Below are 21107 nucleotides of genomic sequence, written 5' to 3'. Positions count from 1 at the left end.
ATTTGAAGGACGTCTGGATTTGATTTACTTAAGAGCATATACGGCTTAATTTTGTATTTCTGGTAATCATCTATTACATTTCCCCCATTTTATCAAATGACACTTTTCCCTCATATCTATTTTTACTATGTAAACGATTTTCTATCCAGTTTATCTAAAACTCCTTGATTAAACAGAGTTTAATTCTAGCAATACATACATGCTTATCTCTGCATTGTTTTATAATTTGATGAGAAATGTTTTTCCCCAATATATGACTGTATGGATAATACTTTTTAAAAAGATACAATAAAATATGATATCTCTTTCTCACTTGATCATGTGGCTGAATGAGTCAATCCCTCCATCAAACAGAAATATCCGGCATCACTTAATCTAATTAATAAAAACATCCAGTGTGCATGTGCACCCACAATGAGAAGAAAAGACCAAAACAAACAGCCAAAAAGGAGAGAATCCCATGATTTCTGTGTATACTATCACAGGGTGTACACACACGATGTACACCCACTGTGATTTTTAAAGTAATATCTCCTTAGGATATTACAAATAGTATCAATAGGTGTACACACCCTATGACATTAAGATAACATCCCTTTAGGATATTCCAAATAATATCCCAGGGTGTAGACCCCATGTGACATTAGGAGTAACATCTTCCTTGGATATTACGAATGAGATCACAGGGTTGACACTCCATGTGATTTTAAAATTAAAATCCCTCAGGAATATTACTAATAATATCACAGGGTGTACACCCTTGTGACTTTAGGAGTAACATCCTCCCAGGATATTATGAATAATATCAGAAGGTGTACACACATTGTGACATTAGTAGTAATATCGCACGAGTAAAGTGTGAATAATATCACAGGGTATACACACCTGTGACATTAGGAGTAACATCCCCCTGGAATATTCTGAATAATATCACAGGGTTTACACCTCCTGTGACTTTAGGAGTATCATCCCGCCAAAATATTACGTGAATAATTGTAAAATTACGAGCATCTCCCTAAGATATTATGAATAATATCACAGAATGTGTACACTCATGGCGTATACCCCATGTGATATGAGGAGTTACATCCTTCTAGTATGTTAGGAATAATACCACAAAGGTGTTCACACATAGTTAACAGCATATGTAATATTAGGATTAACATCCCTCGAGAATTTCACAAAGAACATCACAGGGGCTGTGCACACATGATGTACATGCCCTTTGACATTACGAGTACATTTCCCTGACACATTTCCAGTAATATCACAGCATTTACACCTTCTGTGACATTTGGAGTAACGTCCCCTAGGATAGTACGAATAATATCACTGGGTGTACATCCCCTGTGACCTGAGGAGTAATATCTTTCTAGATTACATGAATAGTATCACAATGTGTACACCCCGTGTGTCATTAAAAGTAAAATTCCCCTAGGATATTATGAAAAATAACACAGGGAGTACACCCCGTGTGACGTTAGAAGTAACATCCCCCAAGGATATAACGAATAATATCAGAGAATGTACATGCATTGGGACATCAGTAGTAATATCTCTTTCCGATAATACGAATAATATCAAAGGGCGTACATGCATTGTGAAATTAGTAGTGAACTCCCGCTAGGATATTACGAATTTCATGACAGGGTGTATATGCCCTGTGACATTCAGAGTAACGTTTTCCTAGAAAATTATGAGGAATATTAAAGTGTGTACAGGACCTGTGATTTACGAGTAACATTTCCGTAGAATATTACACTGTGTGTACACCCCGTGTGACATTAGGAGTAACATCCCACAAAACTATAACGAATAATTTCACAAGGTGTACACCCTCTGCAACATTAAAAGTAACATTTCCCTAGAATATTACGATAATATCACAGAGTGTACACCCCCTGTGATATAGGGAGTAACATCTTGTAAGGATTATACAAGTAATTTGATAAGGTGGACAAACCCTGTGACACAAGGAGAAACATCCCTCTGGGACATTACAAATAATATCAAAGGGAACACACCCCGTGTGACAATAAAGGTAACCTCCCCTTAGGATATTACGAATAATACCACAAGGTGTACACACACTGTGACATTATTATTAATGTCCCACTAGGGTATTGTGAATAATATCACAGTGTGTACAGTCCTGTGACATCAGGATGAACATTCCCCTACAATATTACGAATAATATAGCAGGGTATACACCCCCTGTGATTTTGGTATTGCCATCCTCCTAGAATATGGAAAATAATGTCCCAGGGTGTTAACGAAGAGTGGCAGTAGAGGTAAAATCCTAGTAGTGGAGTAAATCACCCCGCCTCTCCCCCAAGGATATTACGATCCACGGTGGACACACAGCGTGTTTATGTTATTGTGAGTAATATCTTCTCCGCCTCTGGAGATTACCAGCTATGTCATAGACGGGTGTACATCCTCTGCACTATTTGCAGTAACGGCATCCTCTTGCCCCTGGATATTAACAACAATGTCACAGGAGTATTTCTACCCCCAGTGGCATTGGGTGTAGTATCATCCTCTCCCACTCTGAAATTAGGAACGATATCACTGTGGGCGTGTACACACCCTGTGATATTGAAAGTAATATCATCCTCTTTTCTCCTGGATCATGGGACCAATATCAATGGGAAGCGTACACTTTCTGCAATATTGGGAGTAATGTCATCCTCTCCGCCTTTGAATATTAAGGGCAATGTCACAGGGCGGGTGTACATTCTCTGCGATATTGGCAATATTATCCTCTCCCCAACCTGCATATTAGGAAAAATATCACAGAGTGGGTGTACACCTTCTGTGATATGAGTAGTAATATCATCTTCTCCCCTTCTGGATATTAGGAACAATATCACTCTGGAGTGTACACTTTCTTCGAGATTGAGAGTAATATCATCCTCTCCGCCTTTGAATATTAAGAGAAATATCACAGGGGGGATGTACAGCCCCTGAGATTTTGGGAGTAATATCGGGCTCTTTCCCTCCATGGATATTAGGAACAATATCTCAGGGTGGGTTTACACCTCCTGCTATATGGGGAGTCGTATCATTTCTTTTCCTGGATATTAGGGACAATATCATAGGGTGGGTGTACACAGCCTGCGATATTGCTGTAATATCATCCTCTCGCCCTCCAGATGTTAGGAACAATATCACAGAAGGGGCGTACACTCCCTGTGATATTGGGAGTAATATCATTTTCTCCTTCCATGAATATTAGGAGCAATATCCCTGGGTGGATGTACACCCACTGTTACACTGGGAGTAATGTCATACTCTACCCCCTGGATATTAGGAGCAATATCACAGGGTGGGTGTACACCCATAGCGATATTGGGAGTTATTAATATCATGCTCTCCCTCCCTGGATATTAGAAAAAATATCACAAGGGGGGTGTACACCTCGGCACTATTGTGAGTAATATCATTCTCTCTTATTCTGGATAGTAGGAATAATATCACAAGCGGGGTGTACACCTTCTGTGATATTTGGAGTAATATCATCCTCTCCCAACGTGGATATTAGGAACAATATCACAAGGGGGCTGTACACGTCTTTGATATTGGTAGTAATATCATCCTCTCCCCACTGCATATAAGAAACAGTGTGACAGGCGGGGTGGACACCCCCTGCGATATGGGGAGTAATATCACCCTCCTCTCCATCCCTGGATATCATGACCCACGGTGGACACACAGCGTGTTTACGATATTGTGAGTAATATCATCCCCCCTCTAGAAATTATGAACAATATCACAGATTGGTGTACACCCTCTGCAATATAGGGACTGATAACATCCTCTCCACCCCTGAATATTAGGAACAATATCAAAGAAGTGTTTATACCCCCTGTGATATTGGGAGTAATACCATCCTCTCCCAAGTTGAAATTCAAAACAGTGTCACTGGGGGCGTGTCCACCCCATGTGATTCTGAAAGTAATATCATCCTCTTCTCTACTGGATCATGGGAACAATATCACTGGGGTGGTGTACACTTTCTGTGATATTGGCAGTAATATCCTCTTCGCCTTGGAATATTAAGGACAATATCACCGGGGGCTGTACACATCCTGCGCTATTAACAATAATATTATCCTCTCGCGCCCTGCATATTAGGAAAAATATCACAGAATGGGTGTACACCTCTTGCGATATGGGGAGTAATATCATCTTCTCTTCTTCTGGAAGTAGGAATAATATCACACAGGTTTGTACACTTTCTGTGATATTGGGAGTAATATCAACTTCTCCTCCTTTGAATATTAAAAACAGTATCACAGAATGGATGTACACCCCCTGTGATTTTGGGAGTAATATCAGCCTCTACCTTCCATGGATATTAGGAATACTATCCCAGAGTGGGTGTTCAGCTGCTGCTGTATGGGGAATCATATCATCCTCTCCCTTCCTGGATATTATTAGCAACAATATCACAGGGTGGGTGTGCATAGCCTGCGACATTGGGAGTAATATCACCCTCTCCCCCTCCGGATATTAGGAACAATATCACAGAACGGGTGTACACTCCCTGCGATACTGGGAGTAATATCATTCTCTTCTTCCGCGAACATTAGGAGCAATATCACCGGGTGGATGTACACCCACTGCTATATTGGGAGTAACGTCATACTCCACCCTCTGGATATTCGGATCAATATCACCGGGTGGGTGTACACCTACGGCAATATTGAAAGTAATACCATGCTCTCTCCCTCCATGGACATTGGGAACAATATCATAGGTGGGTGTACACGCACTGTGGTATTAGGAGTAATATTATTATTAATTATTACTTATTTATTATTAACATTAATATTAATTACCAATATCAATATTGAGAAATAATTGCTAATAAAAAGTTTTCATGTTATTAACATTAATATTAATTGTTGGTACCTAATATTATTGTTTTCTAATTAATAAGATCAGTATCAATTGTTAATATCAGTTATTATTAATAATTAATATTAATAATTTTATTGTTATCATTAATATAACTATTTAATAATAATTATCATTATTATCAGTATTGATTTTAAATCACTCATTTAACAAAACCTCAGGCCACATACAACTATGCAAAGGGGCTAACATTGTAAGCCCTTAAGGACGGCTTCAACCATTCACTGACACAATAACACTTTTCAGCAAAGAACCCCTATGGCCCTCAACATCTACTATTAACTTTTATATTATTGCTCCAACCCTGGCGCTTTCTTTCGCTCTCCTATTGTGAACCCCCATCCCTATACCAGATCCTCTAATTAATTTTGATATAGGCCTCCTATTTTTACTAACCGTATCAAGCCTAGCCGTCTGCTCTATTCTATGATCAGGGAGAGCAATTAAATTCAAATTATGCACTAATTGGCGCATTACAAACTGTAGCCCAAACAATTTCATATGAAGTAACCCTAGCCGTTATCCTGCTATCAATTCTACTGATAAGTGCCTCGTTTAACTTATATGCACTCATCACAATGCAAGAAATCCTCTGACTGCTCCTATCATCATGGCCCCTAGACATGATATGACTTGTCTTCACACTAGCAGAAACTAATAGAGTCCCAATATTATACATATATATAATTTTTATATATATATAATATATATATAATTTTTATATATATATAATATATATATAATTTTTATATATATATTATATATATATAATTTTTATATATATAATATATATATAATTTTTATATATATATAATATATAATTTTTATATATATAATATATATATAATTTTTATATATATAATATATATATAATTTTTATATATATAATATATATATAATTTATATATATATAATATATATATAATTTTTATATATATATTATATATATAATTTATATATATAATATATATTATGTAAAATATAAATATATAAATGTTTGTATATTATATATTTTATATATTTTATATATAATATATATAAATATGTACCTATAATACAAAATACATAATATATATAATATATATGATGATATATAATTTTTATACCCTCTGTAGAGGGAATTCTTTTTGTTTCTATATCCATCCATAATAAAATACTGTGTCTGTCCATAATAAAAATACTAGTGAAAAATAGGAATTATAGTCACATAAGAGATAAAAGAAAATCTGTTAGTATCAATATATTAACACATATAGATGGTGTTGGTTTTTACAGGGTTTAGTAAAATGCATTCTAATTTTCTAAACAATTTCCACATTACAGTATATTTATTTTTCTCTCTTTCATGATTGGAAAGAGTGCAACAATATACATCCTTATACAATCATCCTTGATTACATCTAAGGGAGCTTCGGCAGTAGTAAAATTACAGGGTTAATATATTCAGATAGGTATTACAGGGTAACCAAACAACATTCCGAATTCTTTCATCAGCAAAGCCCAGTGTAATCCTAATCCAGGTAGCCACGCTAATTAATGCAATTAACTCAGATACATAAATATATACATATACATGTATATGTCTGCATGTGTGTGGATGCACTTAAATGGTTGCAAACACCATCGACTTTTCCTCTCAAACAGCATTTTTGTTGAGAATGAGGTATATTCACTAGTTCATCAAAAATCTTTTTTAAATTCTTAGATGATCACATTTGTTACAGTGACCAGCTGGATTAGAATCAGATTAGGTTTAAAATGATGAAGGAATCTGGGAAAGGGGACAGAGTGTTGGTTGTTAATTAGCACATGGATCAAAGAAGAGCACTGATGTGTTTAGAAACCACAACATTGACAGGATAAAAGCCAGAACTAACAATCCAGTTGTAAATCTCTTTACTGTGGTATTTTTTTTGCCATTTGTGCTCCATAAGACACACTTTAACCACTTTGTCGTGGTATCTGCTGTATTCTATCTTAGTCTAAATAGCATTTTCTCTCAAATGCATTCTGTTTCTCTCTCCTTCATCTTCCCTCCCTTCTTCCTTCCAGCTGTATTTTCTCACTAGAGAACACTACTAGAATGTTCTCCTAAATTTCAGATTTCAGATATGCATCTGTAAAATGATCTTATGGAGACACATTTTAGTTGCTACTGAATACTTGGTTGTTTTCATAAGTTCGCAGCATTACTACTGTCCTCCAAAAAACGGTTTCCCATTTCCACAGCTAATCTCATCATTGACTCTGCCATCCAAGTTTATTCTATGCCACTCTGGAAGAATCTGGAAAAATACTTAAAATACATTTTAAGTATTCATCATGCACATGTATTGTATTTTCTTTTATATATGTTCGGGTGGATATCTTTCTCCACTAATGGTTTGCATTTCAATTCTTGTATCATGTTTTTTGAAACACAGAAGTCATCATTAATATAAACCAACTAATTTTATTAATTGTTAATTTTTGTCCTGGTTAAGAAATCCTTATGAGAATATTGTGTCATGTTCCCCTTACCTTCAGGACTTGAATCTATTTGGAAATGACTGTGTGTGTTTTGAGGTAGGAGTCAATATTTAGTTACTTTTTAAAAAAAAAATTCAATTAATCCAGCATTGTTCTGATCACCTTGTGTATTTCAATGTAGAAGAGCACACTAATAATGCGGGGTTATTTATCTATGTGGTGAGAATTCCAAAATGAAGCCCACCATGGAAGGTCAAATTATATTAACTCAAAGGATAGATTAGTACAATGAAACATGATGGATAAGAGCAATATAGTTAGATAAAGAGAAAGAAAAACAACATTTCCCAGTTATCATTAAGACTTCACTCCAAGTTTTTGCATGAAGCAAAAGATCCCAACTCTCTTCCACTGATTTTAACTCCATTCAGACATGTCTGTCATCTATTATTTCACTCAGTGGCAGTCAAAAATAAAAAAAAACCAGATAATATATTTCATGCCATGATCATGAATAATGATTTTTCAAAAATTAATTAATAAAGAACCAATATATATACTTTTAGTGTTTTTACTACATTTAATAGTAACACAATAAATGAGTTTTAATAACATTAGAATGCAATTCAAGACATAAAACCGAACCTATTTGTCCTGTTTGATAAGGCACAAGGAAGAGGGCTTTCTGGGATAAAGGGGTTCCCACAGCAGATGAACACATTTCTGATTTGTCTCTGGTCAGAGGAGAATACAGAAAAAGATAGGTCTGAGAGGAAGTGAGAAGGAGCAATTAGGGATGGTGTATATAGGGGAGCTTTGACTAACATCAACGAAGCTCACAGTTCTAGCTTCACAATCCAGGAATAATTCTACATGGTTGGTAGGTCTTGGGACATACTGCAGTGTAATTGGGGAGGTGGTAAAGAGACTGCACTGAATGTCGTTCTTAACACACCCAAGACTAAAGAGTCCCTCCTCTCCATATATATTGCCATTCTGATTCTTCCCTTTCCAATACTTATTACAGACACCAAAAGCCCAATTCCAAGAGTCCCCCACATGGACCTCCCAGTAATATTTGCCAGAGGTGAAAGTCTGAGCACCCCATGCAAGAAAACTTGTAGGTGTTGCAGTGATATGGGGCGGATTTTGACGGTCACATCCAATACAAATGCTTCTCAAATCTCCACATCGGAAGATATGACTGTTGGCTTCATTGTGATGCAGAGTAATATCCACTGCAAAATAAATAAATAAATAAATAGAAAGAAAGAAAGAAAGAAAACATGCATAGGCATGTGTAAATAAGCAAAAATCGTTCTATCAAAAAGTTAATTTACCAGGAAACGTAAAGTCACAAGGACACTTTTGCTTGTAACTTCTAATAAAGTATAGAGATGATTAATATTATCTACAAGACAAACAAAATGCTAACCACAGATATTAAAAATGTTTTGAAAACTTACATACTGACAGCCAAATGTAAGACCAACTTCTTTCAATCCAATTTTCAAAGCAAAATTTGCACATTATACGCCCTAAATGCTATGCTGTTATCAAGATCTTTATTTAGAAATGTTTCTTATTCTTAAAAACTAGTGCCATCATTTTGGAAAGCATGTGAAGATTTTCAGTTACTCAAGAACTGCTCTAGATAACTGGATAAAAATCCATAAGTACATGTCATAAGTGATCATTTGAAGCAGATTTCTGCAAAATCTTTTACCAGTCTCTCTGTGGCCCTCCATGTTAGCTTGGGGCTGAAGCTGGATTTTAGACTTAACATGTAGCTTTTCATATTGCAATTAAACTGAACTTCTTTTTGTTTGATGTTTTACTTGTATTCACAAAATGATTTCTTTTTATTTTTACCCATTAACTAATTTTCTTGGAAATACATAATATATATCCATTTAAAAAATTAAAAAACCCCAAGAATCTCCAGCGAACTATATTCCCCAAAAGAACAGTTCTTAACTGTTCAAATGAATACACCAAAGAAATGTAAAATTTTGTATTTAACATTAAATAACTCACCTTCATTCTGAGCATTGTTCCATTTGCTCCTTTTTTAGATTTGCTACACTACTCCTTTTTTCCCATTACATTACTCAGTACATATGAGGCCATAATGTATTTGTTTTTCACTATCTTTCAATCTTAATGCTATAAATCTGACTATACAGACACAGATACAAAAGGGTTGCATGATTATATTGTTCTCTTATGCTTATAAAGTAGTAAAATATTTGATAAAGGATGAAATATTACCTATGTGATCCTAACAATAATAATATTTAGATAGTGGGGGTGCTGCCTGTGGGTGGAGACTTACCTCAGAATTGGTTGAGCCTGTCCCTCAGTCCAGTGATGGGCCCTGCCCTGAGCGCTAGATTCAGAGGCTGGGGCATGTGCAGCAGCACGGACTCACTCCTGCAAGGAAAAACCTGCAGTTACAACATCTACAGCCATAAAATAAATAAAAATCACTACTTGTGTTTAAAAGACATTTCATGAGAATCCTTTGAACCCACAAATTTGATAATTCAAAAATTATTCCTTCCTTTTTGGAATTAATTTCTATTTACAGTTTCCAAATTTTAAAGCATAGTGGGAGAGTCTGAGTCAGAATTCAGTCTGATGTTTCTTATTTTTTGCCCCAAATGTGTAAAGTTCCTTAGCCTTATGGCCTTGAGAATATTTAGAAACGAAATTCTGAGTTCCACTTCTTGGCAGACTCCCCTGACATCTTTGTCTGAAATAGAGGGGTTCTGGGGAGACTGCTGCATCTGCTGCTTCCTTTTCAAGATAAAGAATGTGAAACTTGTCCTAGGCAGCTAGACCTGCCTTTTAGAAACAAGCTTCCCTAGAGACTTATACAGTTCTAACACTCCATAGTTTTTTCAATCTATTTTTCGGAACTGTTAACTGATATGTGTATAGGTATGAACAACAAATCATCAACTTTTTCACTGCTAAAATACTTCCCCCACTTCTCTCCTGCTTCCTCTGGTGACTTTCTCACCATCCACAAAACAAAACTTCATCTTTCACCTATGCAGGCTTTTAAGCAATAAAACAAAGTCAGGAATAAACATGTTTTTTAAAATTTTACTTCACTATTTATTTATTTATGTATTTATTTACTTAGTGGTCTTGTCTTTTCTGGTGTGGGAATGAAAGAAGATGCAAAAAAAAATAGTATCAATATCTTAATCGTTTATGCCATGACTTTGGTAGAGCCTGCTTTGATATTCGTGGAAAGTGAAAGAACATATGCTAAAATCCAGGTACATACTCACCTGTATAATATGTCTCCAAAAGCCTGTAAAAAAAAAAAATAGAAAGATTTAGTGCAGTTCACAAGATGCATCTTTCATTAAGTTCAGTGTGAAATTTGGAGTCAGTTCCTCAAGATATTATTTCCCTACCTTCTTCTCTTCTGCAAAGCATTTTCTATTTCTTCTGTAATGAAAAACCCAGTCAATCATATTGTCACTAATTAATGTCCCGGGAAAGTCTGAGTCTTGAAGACATTCTCCAAAAAGTGAAGGGAGAAGAAGCCCAGAGAGTCTATGCTCCATGGTAACCTCGAATAACCTACTCGGTCATCTTTCCCAGAACCTATTATCCAAATGAGTGGATCCCAAAATAATATTAATGTGAGCCTAGATTCCCAAAACTTCTGATCTTGCCATGTCCTCAAATTAACCTAAATGTAAATGAATCACTCACTATTTTATACATGTTTGACAACCCTAAATGTATTATTGACTTAGTTGGGGAATAGTTATTGGGGCTGTTACCTTGACCATTCCACAAAGTTTTGTGGCTGGTGGATAAAGTAGGAGGGACCTTTGGCCTGGTAGGATCCCTTGGCGGGGCTATACTCTCCCAATAAAGTAGCATTAGTTATGCGAATGTGTTTTTGGAAACACATCATGGAAATAAAGGTAGGGAGATGGATTTCAGCCATGAGGAAAATACTTATACATGTGAATAGTCAAAAACCTGAAACCACATTGCGAGTTTGTACCTGAAGTAGCTCCACATGTGGTTTATGGCACATTTTCATCAGCTCCGCTTACATTCCTCTTAAAAATCTCCCTCCTATGAGCCATTTTGGCTTTACTTAAATGAAGTTGATGAAAAATATCTTTTCCCTTCTTTTTCAGCATCTCCAAATTATGTTTTTCTTCTTCATGATGAAATGCAGGCATCTTCTGATACTCAGCTTTAATAGCTTCTAGCCTTACATTCACATAATACGGCAGTAATAATGGGTTAGTCAAAAGAGAAATGTATATATCCATCTCCTATTAAATCTCACTGATTCCTTTTGTCTCTCGAACATCCAATAGTTTAAACCTCAGTCTTGCCAGTTCTTAGAATCCACAAATTTTTTCCTTTCCTTTCTTTCTGCATAAAGATCAACATAGATGTATCTGACCAATTACATTAAATTTATTCAAGATAAGGAGTGTTCTAAGATAGTTGGAAATAAAAAAAAACACAATTTGAATTTCTCTATTCCAACCCACATTTATGGAAAAGTAAGAATAGTTCATGCTTAAGAGTTGGAGTATAGAGCTATAGTTACTAGAAAGGAAATAATTATTTCTATTTCTGAGATATGTAACAAGTTGCTTAAACTCATTATATATGAAATGACCTTAGACTAACATGTCCAGCTAAATGCATTTCGCCCAGCAAAACCTATCCTAATAAAGCTGCATTTATGATTTGGCCATTTTTGTCTCCCTGAATTCATTTCCTTCCATTCTTTTTCTAAGTCATCCCAATCTGAAACATAGACTTCTTTGGTTCCCCAGGCCTCCAAATATACACAAACTCAAAATTACTGCATATGCTGTTCTCTCCAACTGGAATTTTACACACAGACACACACACACACATATACACACTCATGGTCCACATATATATCCATACACACTTTTGTGCTCCCCTTCCTCTTTGAAACTTTGTTCAATTTGAATTTTTCAGTGAGTCTTTTTTCTGACCACCCTATTTTAAACTCACACACTAATCTCCAGTTTCTGGCCTCTATTGTCCTTTTCTACTTCCCTGCTTGATTATTCTCCAACAAAGAACTTACCACACTCGAACACATCATGTATTGCACATATTTGCATGTTGACCATTTTTGCCTCTCTCATTTGGATTGTACGATTTGTGAGGACAAAGATGCTTTCTTTCTTCTATACTGGCAAATTTTCTAATTTAATATTCAACATAGACTAGGTTCTTATGAAATACTTTTCAACACACTAATATTAGCTATCATACCCTCAGAGTATACATCCACAAAGAGGAAATCATTTTTAATATTTTTCTGAAGTCCTCAGAGTTCTCCTTATATTTAGATACTAGTTCCCATATTTTGGGCATGTTTGCATGTCTCCCTCAAGACACAAATCCATATTTCTCACCACTTTTCTCATCATATGTTATGTATTATTCAATATTAATTAGTTTGGATTCTTAATTTCATGGTTGCCCTAGATTTCCCCTGTCACTCTTTCTGCCTCAAATTTTCCATGCAATTCCAAATACTACTTGTCCACCAGCATTCAGATTAATGCTGACCCAGGCTCAGAAGGTTCACTTGAGCTTTCCATGACTGCCAAATAACTCTTATGCCCAGCATTTATCCAACCAGCACATATAGAATGCTGTGAGATGGCCCAGTTTCTTGTATCTGTTGGTGTATAGCTACAGGTTTGTATGAAAACAAATCAGCATGCTTTGGGTAACATCAACGGTTTTGTTAGAAATCCCATCTAATAGTCACACTATTCTACATAAGAAATGAGACCATTTTTTCTCAATGTTTTCTTCTCTTTTTTTTTTTTTTTTGACTCCCAGAAACATTACGGTTTGATATCAAGTTCCTATTTTAAGAGTCACCCATTTGCCCACCATAAGTTCCTGGAGAAGGTAGGGTATTACAGGACTAACCTTCCAGTGGCTGATTCTGGTGGTTTCCACATTCAGGTTTCTCTGATTTTCACAAGCTTTTTCCCATAAAGACTGCATTTTCTTTAAAAGCTTCTCCTGCAAAAGAGCCATAAATTGAAGCACCAGTGAAGACAATAAAGTAACATACAGACCGTTTCATTGGGAGGGGGCCCAGAATGAGAGACAAATAAGTCCCTAGTAAATGGCATTTCTTCTGTTTCACTTCTTCCTCGTCAAATCTCAGAGGTTTGAAGCTAAGAAAGCCCAAAAGAGAGTTGCTTAAAGGGACTCAGAGTTGGCTTTACCCAATCTCCAAGAAAATAGGGCCACAGGAATTTCATGTGTCCTTTATAGAAATAGATCTTCAGAGGCATCACTTACCCAGTGTTCCTCAGCAGCCCACTCAGCGGGACAGTGTCTGTGATACCGGTGCTCCTGAGAGCTGGAGCACAGCAAACAGAGCAGGCTCCTGTCCACTTCACAGAACATCTTCTTTGTCTCCCTGTGAATGCCACACATTTGCTCCTCAGAGCTCAGGAATAGCCAGAGACTGGCTTTTCTGGCAAGGGAAGCCATCTTCTTCAATCGAATGTTAGTTTTGAGGTTTCTCTGCTGTATTGTCTTTATGCATTCAAAGCACTGAGTAAGAATTGGGATGTCTTGCCAGTTGAGGTAGAAACAGGGCCTGCAAAAGCTGTGCCCACAGTCTATGGTGACCGGGTCTATGAAGTAGTTCATGCAGATGGGGCAGGTGAGTTCCCTCTGGAAGACTTGCGAGATTCCAGAATTCATGTTTCTGAGGAAGAAAGAGCAGCATGTCATTTTGGGGTCTGGGTTGATGAAAAGCTTCTGAACATGTGGAGATAAGTGATAGCTATAGTTTCTTCTCTTGACAGTGTTCATTAAAGCACAACAAACTATTTCTTCTGTAACAAAAATAAAAATCTCACACAGAGAGTCTCCCGGCTTTATAATAGATATTACTGACTAGATGCCTCACAACCCCTTCTACTCCTAGTGCCTGTCTGTAACATAATACTAATCTATTCAATTTCCCATTTTTTTCTGAATGTGGATCTGGAAATTGGGTTTGATTCTAAGTAGCCTAGAATAAATTGTAGTTGTTCCTATTCTTCTTTCATATGACTGCCGAATGAGTGTGAAAGAGTGGGAAAAACTGTCTTGGCCAAAGAAATACGAGAAGATGGCTAGAGGGTCCTATGATATATTTTGAGAGAGAGACACAACAGTGGGGCAGCAAACCACCATGGCACATGTTTACCTGTGTAACAAGCCTGCATGTCCTGCACGTTTATCTCAGGACTGAAAATAATATAAAATTAAAGTAAAATAAAAAACCAAATCCAAAGCGAAATAGAAAAACCAATCAACCAACCAAATAAACAAATAAAAAACAGCAATTAAACCAATTTAGGTTGAATAGAAGAGAAAAAATCATTAAAGATATCGGACCTTTTTATTTTCTCTTGGATTGAATTAACTTCTCCTAGGGATACCCAAACTCTGAACTAACATATAGTAGGATTTTTGTTAAACTTAAAGAGGTGTAATTATATTTCCATGGTGTGATGGTGAATTTTAGGTATCAGTCTGACTGGATTAACCAACACCCAGGGAAATGGTGCAGCATTGTTTCTGGGTGGGTCTGTGAAGGTGTTTCCGGAGGAGAGAGACATGTGAGTTGGTGAGCTGAGTGGGACCATCATCCCTCAGTTTGAGTGGGTACCATTCAATCAGCTTGTAGCTCAGATAAAAGGAAAAGGCCAGAGGAAAGGCAATTTCCTCTTTCTTTCTCCTGAAGCTGGTTCTGAGGCTTTCAGCCTTGAGATCAGTCAAGATACCAGTATCCTCACTACATCAGCTTAAAGACAGCCTATATTTGGAACTGCTCAGACTCCATAATCAAGCAAACGAATTTTCCTGATGAATTCCCCTCGTGTAGAATCATGTGTAGCTTGAGGACAGATATATGTTCTAAGAAATGTGTAAGGAGGCTTTATTTATTTACTTTCTGAGGTGGGGACTCACTGTGTCACCCAGGCTGGAGTGCAGTGGTGCAATCTCGGCTCACTGCAACCTCCACCTCCTGGGTCAAAGCGAGTCTCCTGCCTTAGCCTCCTGAGTTCCTGGGATTATAGGAACATGCCACTACACCCGGCAAATTTTTTCATTTTTTTTTTTTCCAGTAGAGATGAGGTTTCGCCATGTTGGCCAGGCTGGACTTGAACTCCCGGCCTCAAGTGATCTGCCTGCCACGGCCTCCAAAAGTGCTGGGATTACAGGCATGAGTCACTGCGCCTAGGTTTTATTGTTTTATTGTTTTGACATGATAGAATCTACCTTTACAAACCTAGATGGTATAGCCTGCTACAAACCTATGGTATACAGTACAGCCTATTGCTCCTAGACTACAAAACTGTACAGCGTGTTCTATACTGTATACTCTAGGCAATTGTAACACAGTGGTAATTATTTAGTATGTAAACATTTAAATACAGAAAAGGTGCAGTAAACATACTGGTATTATAATCTTATGTGACCACCATGTGTGGTTTGTTGTTGACTGAAATGGCTCATGAATGTATCTCTACATGTATACATATACACCCTATGATTCTGTCTGTCTGGAGAGCCCTGACTAATATATAAACTATGGTCTTTGGCAATTTTAAGTCCTTTTCGTTACTCTCCTTTATTTGATAACGCTGCTGAATTTTAGTGAAAGCAATGAAAAATCTTAGAATTGTAAATATTCTCCAGAGGTCATCTAAGTCATTGTAAGGAATTTTTCATAGTTTAATAAGATTAAAACTCAAGTGAGATGGCAACCACCATCACATATCAAATTATATCATATATTTATTTGGTCAAAAAATTGTGTTTTGATTTCCAAACTGGGATGTTTTGGGGAGCTTTCTCATTTTTTTCAGTTTCACTATTTTTCATCTCTCATCATTACCTTACTAATTTAAAGTTATGTGTAAATGCTGAATGAATGAATGAACATTCATTAATGTCTTCTCAATTCAATTGTATAATATTAATACACTCATTACACATATATTTACACACACCTATGTGTACATACATGTATAAATATCAACTCCATATATTCATTATGCATACATATCTGTTGCAGCAAACACTAGATATTTTCATTTTTTCAAAACTATATTGAAGAATGATAGAAAATGCAAAATAACAACAATTAATATCCTCATAATTCATAAAATCTATAGTAAGAATATGAATTACAGATGGTATCATTGTGTAGATTTAAGATAATGAGATATTTTTAACACTCTAATTTATTATTTTGTAAAGGAAAGAAGATATAATTTTATCAATATAAGTTTCACTCACCGCTGGGTTCTTTGAAGGGTTCCCACAATGATTCTTCGAGACATAATTCTGTTAAGTACTCCTCAAGGTCAGGAGCTCATTCGCTGCAGTACTGAGTTTCAGAGGTCACCAAAACACAGCTCCCTCTAAGTGCACTCCTTCTCCTTTGGAGAAAACTGAGCTTGTCTCTTCTATGTCCTTTATAAGAATCTGTGAAGACCACACCCACCTCTTTAAGTGGGTGGAGTATTGAGAAAGGTTGAGAATAAGATGATTAGGTTTATGCAGTATTTAGATCACACCTTTGCACGGCTGATTAAATTATCATCACTCCTTAAAAAACCATGACTGAAATGAATCATATGTAACATAAATCCTATCAGATTTGACATACACTGCAAATTAAATAAGATGCATTTTATACTGTTTATTGAGCTTCATCCAAGATACAGGCATTCCTTTAAGGGCACATTTATTTATTCTAGAGAAACTGTCTCCTTGTGGAGTGCAGTGGTATAATCATAGCTCACTGCAGCCTTGAATTCCAAGGCTCAAGGGATCCTCCTTCTTCAGCCTCCCAAGTAGCTAGGACTACAGGCTCAAATCATCCCACCTGGCTAATTTTTTTAAAAACTTTTCATAGAGTCAGGGTATGGCTCTGTAGCCCAGGCTGTTCTCCAACTCCTGTCTTCAAGTGATCCTCTGGTCTTGGACTTCCAAAGTGCTTGGGAGTACAGGCATAAACCACCTCGTCCAGCCTTAAATGCTGCTTTAGTACATTTATAGGATATTGGAAGAGAAGTCCAACAGGAAGGTAAAACTTTTTTTTTTGTTTTCTACCACTCTAAGAGAAATCACTGACTAACCAAATAACTCTACTAATTTGAGGTCTCTTATTGAATTTACAAAACTTTGCCAATCTCGTGGGTGAAATACGAGTTATTATTTTAATGCTTTTCTCCACATGGTGCATGATGTTCTGCCATGACTAGAAATGCAATATAGTAATTAATTTGGGGATTATAAACAAGTTTTAGGACGTAGGCTAATTCACAAATACAGAATCCAAACGATAGGGATGGATTATATTTTTCTTTCTATAACAAATATTTTTGTTGTCATGTGACAATTTAAAAAAGAAAAGAGATTTCAGAAGCGGCTACTCAAATATATTCTGACAGAGGAATTCTTTGCCAATAGCCCCCACAAGACTTATATTCAAGAGTTTCAGAACAGTGAAGACAAATCTGTCAGCCCTATGTCTGTCGAGGTTCAAAAAGTCTGTCAAGGTTCAAAAATCGAAGCAGAACCCATAATATATATGTATACTTAGGGAGATTCACATATGAATTAAGTGCAAGGAACTGGTTTCCACAGTTGATGGGATGCCTGAGCAAGTATGAGATCCCTGTTAAAGTCAGTTAGGAAGAAAAATCCTCAGCTGGCTGGATCCCAGTGATCATGATTCAAAGCTTTGGTCCCAAGTCAGTAGGGGGCAATTGGAAGATTACAGTCCCATTCGCTATTTTAAATGTTGTTCAAGGAATGCCTATGTCTTTCTTTAAGGGACTTTCACTGATGAAGTCAGGCTTACCTGAATACACTTGCTAGTTACAAGAGCAGGACCTTTCATTACCTCTGCAAAATACCTTCCCAGTAGGTCCTACGTGAGTGTTTCATTGAATAATAATAAGAAAGTTTGTCTATGCCACACAGTCCAGTTTCATTCTCCTACATGTGGCTTGCCAATGATCCCAGCACCATTTGTTGAATAGGGTGTCCTCTCCCTACTTTATGTTTTTGTTTGCTTTGTCAAAGATCAGTTGGTTGTAAGTATTTGGGTTCATTTCTGGGTTCTCTATTCTGTTCCACTGGTCTATGTGCCTATTTTTATACCAGTACCATGCTGTTTTGGTGATGAATAAAGGCCTGGAGTACGGGGATGTAATGCTCAGGGGCCAGACAGTTGGCTGCAGCAGCACAGCCTCATCCAGCAATTAGAGAGGGGATAGGAACAGAGAAAGGTGGGGAAGACTAGAGGCAGGTTTATGAAAGGAACCAGAGCCCTTGGTTGGGTCGAAATAGGGGTGGAGGGAGATTCCAGCTTGTCTTCTGCAGCATGAATACCTTGACCCCCTGCCACAGACATCTATACACAGCAGCTCTCCTGTGACTGAGATTCTCAATCTTTGTGATATGCGCATTCAACTCGCAGAGGTGAAACTTTCTTTTGATAGAGCAGTTTTGAAAAACTCTTTTTGTAGATTCTGCAATTGGACATTTGCAGCGCTTTGAGGCCTATGGTGAAAAAAGAAATATATACACATAAAAACACGACAGAAGCATTCTCAGAAACTTCTTTGTGATGTGTGCATTCAACTCAGAGTTGAACCTTTCTTTTGAAAGAGCAGTTTTGAAACATTCTCTTTGTAGAATATGCAAGTGGACATTAGGAGCCCTTTGATGAGTATGGTGAAAAGGGAAATATCTTCACATAAAAACAAGACAGAAGCATTCTCAGAAACTTCTTTGTGATGTCTGCTTTGAACTCACACAGTTGAAAATTCCTTTTCTTAGAGTAGTTTTGAAACACTCTTTTTGTAGAATTTGCAAGTGGATATTTGGAACGCATTGAGACCTTCATTGGAAACGGGGTATCTTCACTTAAAAACTAGATAGAAGCATTCTCAGAAACTTCTTTGTGATGTGTGCATTCAACTGACAGAGTTGAACATTCCTTTTCATAGAGCAGTTTTGAAACACTCTTTTTGTAGAATCTGGAAGTGGATATTTGGACAGGGTTGAGGCCTTTGTTGGAAAAGGGAATATCTTCACATAAAAACCAGACAGAAGCATTCTCAGAAACTTCTTTGAGATGTGTGCATTCAACTCACAGAGTTGAAACTTTATTTTGATAGAGCAGTTTTGAAACACTGTCTTTGTAGAATCTGTAAGAGGACATTTGGAGCACTTTAAGGCCTGTGGTGAAAAAGTAAATATCTTCACTTAAAAACTAGACAGAAGCATTCTCAGAAACTTCTTTGTGATGTTTGCTTTCAACTCACAGAGTACAACATTCATTTTCTTAGATCAGTTTTCAAAGACTCTTTTTGTAGAATTTGCAAGTGGGTATTAGGAGTGCTTTGAGGCCTTCGTTTGAAACGGGATATTTCACTTAAAAACTAGACAGAAGCATTATCAGAAACTTCTTTGTCAAGTGTGAATTCAACTCACATAGTTGAACCTTTCTTTTGGAAGAGCAGTTTGGAATCACTGTTTTTGTAGAATCTGCAAGTGGATATTTGGACGACTTTGAGGCCTTTGTTGGAAACGGCAATATCTTGACATAAAAACTAGACAGAAGCATTCTCAGAAATTTCTTTCTGATGTGTGCATTCAACTCACAGAGTTGAATGTTCCTTTTGAAAGAGCAGTTTCAAAACACTCTTTTTGTAGAATCTGCAATTGTATATTTCACCGCTTTGAGGCCTTCGGTGGAAACGTGAATGTCTTCACATAAAAAGTAGGCAGAAGCATTCTCAGAAAGTTCTTTGTGATGTGTGCATTCAACTCGCAGAGTTGAACCTTTCTATTGATAGAGCAGTTTTGAATCACTCTTTTTGTAGAATCTGCAAGTGGAAATTTAGACCGCATTGGGGCATTGGCTGAAAAGGGAAATATCGTCACATAAAAACTACACAGGAGCATTCTCAGAAACTTCTTTGTGATGTGTGCATTCAACTCAAAGAGTTGAATCTTTCTTTTGATAGAGCTGTTTTCAAACACTCTCTTTGTAGAATCTGTAAGCGGACATTTGGAACCCTTTTATGCCTGTGGTGAAAAAGGAAATATCTTCACATGAAAACAAGTCAGAAGCATTCTCAGAAACTACTTTGTGGTGTGTGCATTCAACTCACAGAGTTTAAACTTTCTTTTGACAAAGCAGTTTTGAAACACTCTCTTTGTAGAATCTGCAAGAGGACATTTGGAGCCCTTTGATGCCTCTGGTGCAAAAGGAAGTATCTTCGCATAAAAACAAGACAGAAGCATTCTCAGAAACTTCTTTGTTTGTGTGCATTCAACTCACAGAGTTGAACCTTCCTTTTCATAGAGAAGTTTTGAAACACTCTTTTTGTAGAATCTGCAAGTGGATATTTGGACCGGGTTGAGGCCTTTGTTGGAAAAGGGAATATCTTCACATAAAAACTAGACAGAAGCATTCTCAGAAACTTCTTTGAGATGTGTGCATTCAACTCACAGAGTTGAAACTTTATTTTGATAGAGCAGTTTTGAAACACTGTTTTTGTAGAATCTGTAAGAGGACATTTGGAGCACTTTAAGGCCTGTGGTGAAAAAGTAAATATCTTCACAT

The 21107-nt window shown here is 36.7% G+C and overlaps 1 protein-coding gene across 1 annotated transcript, besides 3 other annotated features; it reads right to left on the bottom strand.

Moving 5' to 3' along the window:
- Positions 1-7953: 7953 nt before the first annotated feature.
- Positions 7954-16913, bottom strand: TRIM48 (tripartite motif containing 48). Its single transcript, NM_024114.5, has 6 exons — positions 16757-16913; positions 13754-14168; positions 13373-13468; positions 10696-10718; positions 9729-9826; positions 7954-8631 (listed from the first exon to the last, which is right to left on the bottom strand). Exons 1-5 carry the CDS (start codon positions 16798-16800, stop codon positions 9730-9732), a joined length of 675 nt encoding a protein of 224 aa, NP_077019.2. The 5' UTR covers positions 16801-16913; the 3' UTR covers positions 7954-8631; position 9729.
- Positions 19295-19836: an enhancer, noted in NCBI's record as "OCT4-NANOG hESC enhancer chr11:55026708-55027249 (GRCh37/hg19 assembly coordinates)". NCBI's record gives its function as "activates a minimal SCP1, AML or CMV promoter by ChIP-STARR-seq in primed H9 embryonic stem cells {active_cell/tissue: H9 hESC(primed)}" and the evidence as "EXISTENCE:reporter gene assay evidence [ECO:0000049][PMID:30033119]".
- Positions 19897-20472: an enhancer, noted in NCBI's record as "OCT4-NANOG hESC enhancer chr11:55026072-55026647 (GRCh37/hg19 assembly coordinates)". NCBI's record gives its function as "activates a minimal SCP1, AML or CMV promoter by ChIP-STARR-seq in primed H9 embryonic stem cells {active_cell/tissue: H9 hESC(primed)}" and the evidence as "EXISTENCE:reporter gene assay evidence [ECO:0000049][PMID:30033119]".
- Positions 20491-21107: an enhancer, noted in NCBI's record as "OCT4-NANOG hESC enhancer chr11:55025437-55026053 (GRCh37/hg19 assembly coordinates)". NCBI's record gives its function as "activates a minimal SCP1, AML or CMV promoter by ChIP-STARR-seq in primed H9 embryonic stem cells {active_cell/tissue: H9 hESC(primed)}" and the evidence as "EXISTENCE:reporter gene assay evidence [ECO:0000049][PMID:30033119]".

This window comes from Homo sapiens, chromosome 11, assembly GCF_000001405.40.
Source record: "Homo sapiens chromosome 11, GRCh38.p14 Primary Assembly".
NCBI classification, from domain to species: domain Eukaryota; kingdom Metazoa; phylum Chordata; class Mammalia; order Primates; family Hominidae; genus Homo; species Homo sapiens.
This window is presented reverse-complemented; position numbering and strand designations above follow the sequence as displayed.

What these genes read in the sequence shown, in the direction of transcription:
- TRIM48 (NM_024114.5), bottom strand. Translation starts at nt 16,800, where the DNA reads ATGTCTCGAAGAATCATTGTGGGAACCCTTCAAAGAACCCAGCG. An exon ending in ACCCTTCAAAGAACCCAGCG is followed by an intron (nt 14,169 to 16,756) that starts GTGAGTGAAACT and finishes TTTCTTCCTCAG; the next exon opens with AAACATGAATTCTGGAATCT. An exon ending in TTTGGAGACATATTATACAG is followed by an intron (nt 9,827 to 10,695) that starts GTGAGTATGTAC and finishes TTTTCCTTGCAG; the next exon opens with GAGTGAGTCCGTGCTGCTGC.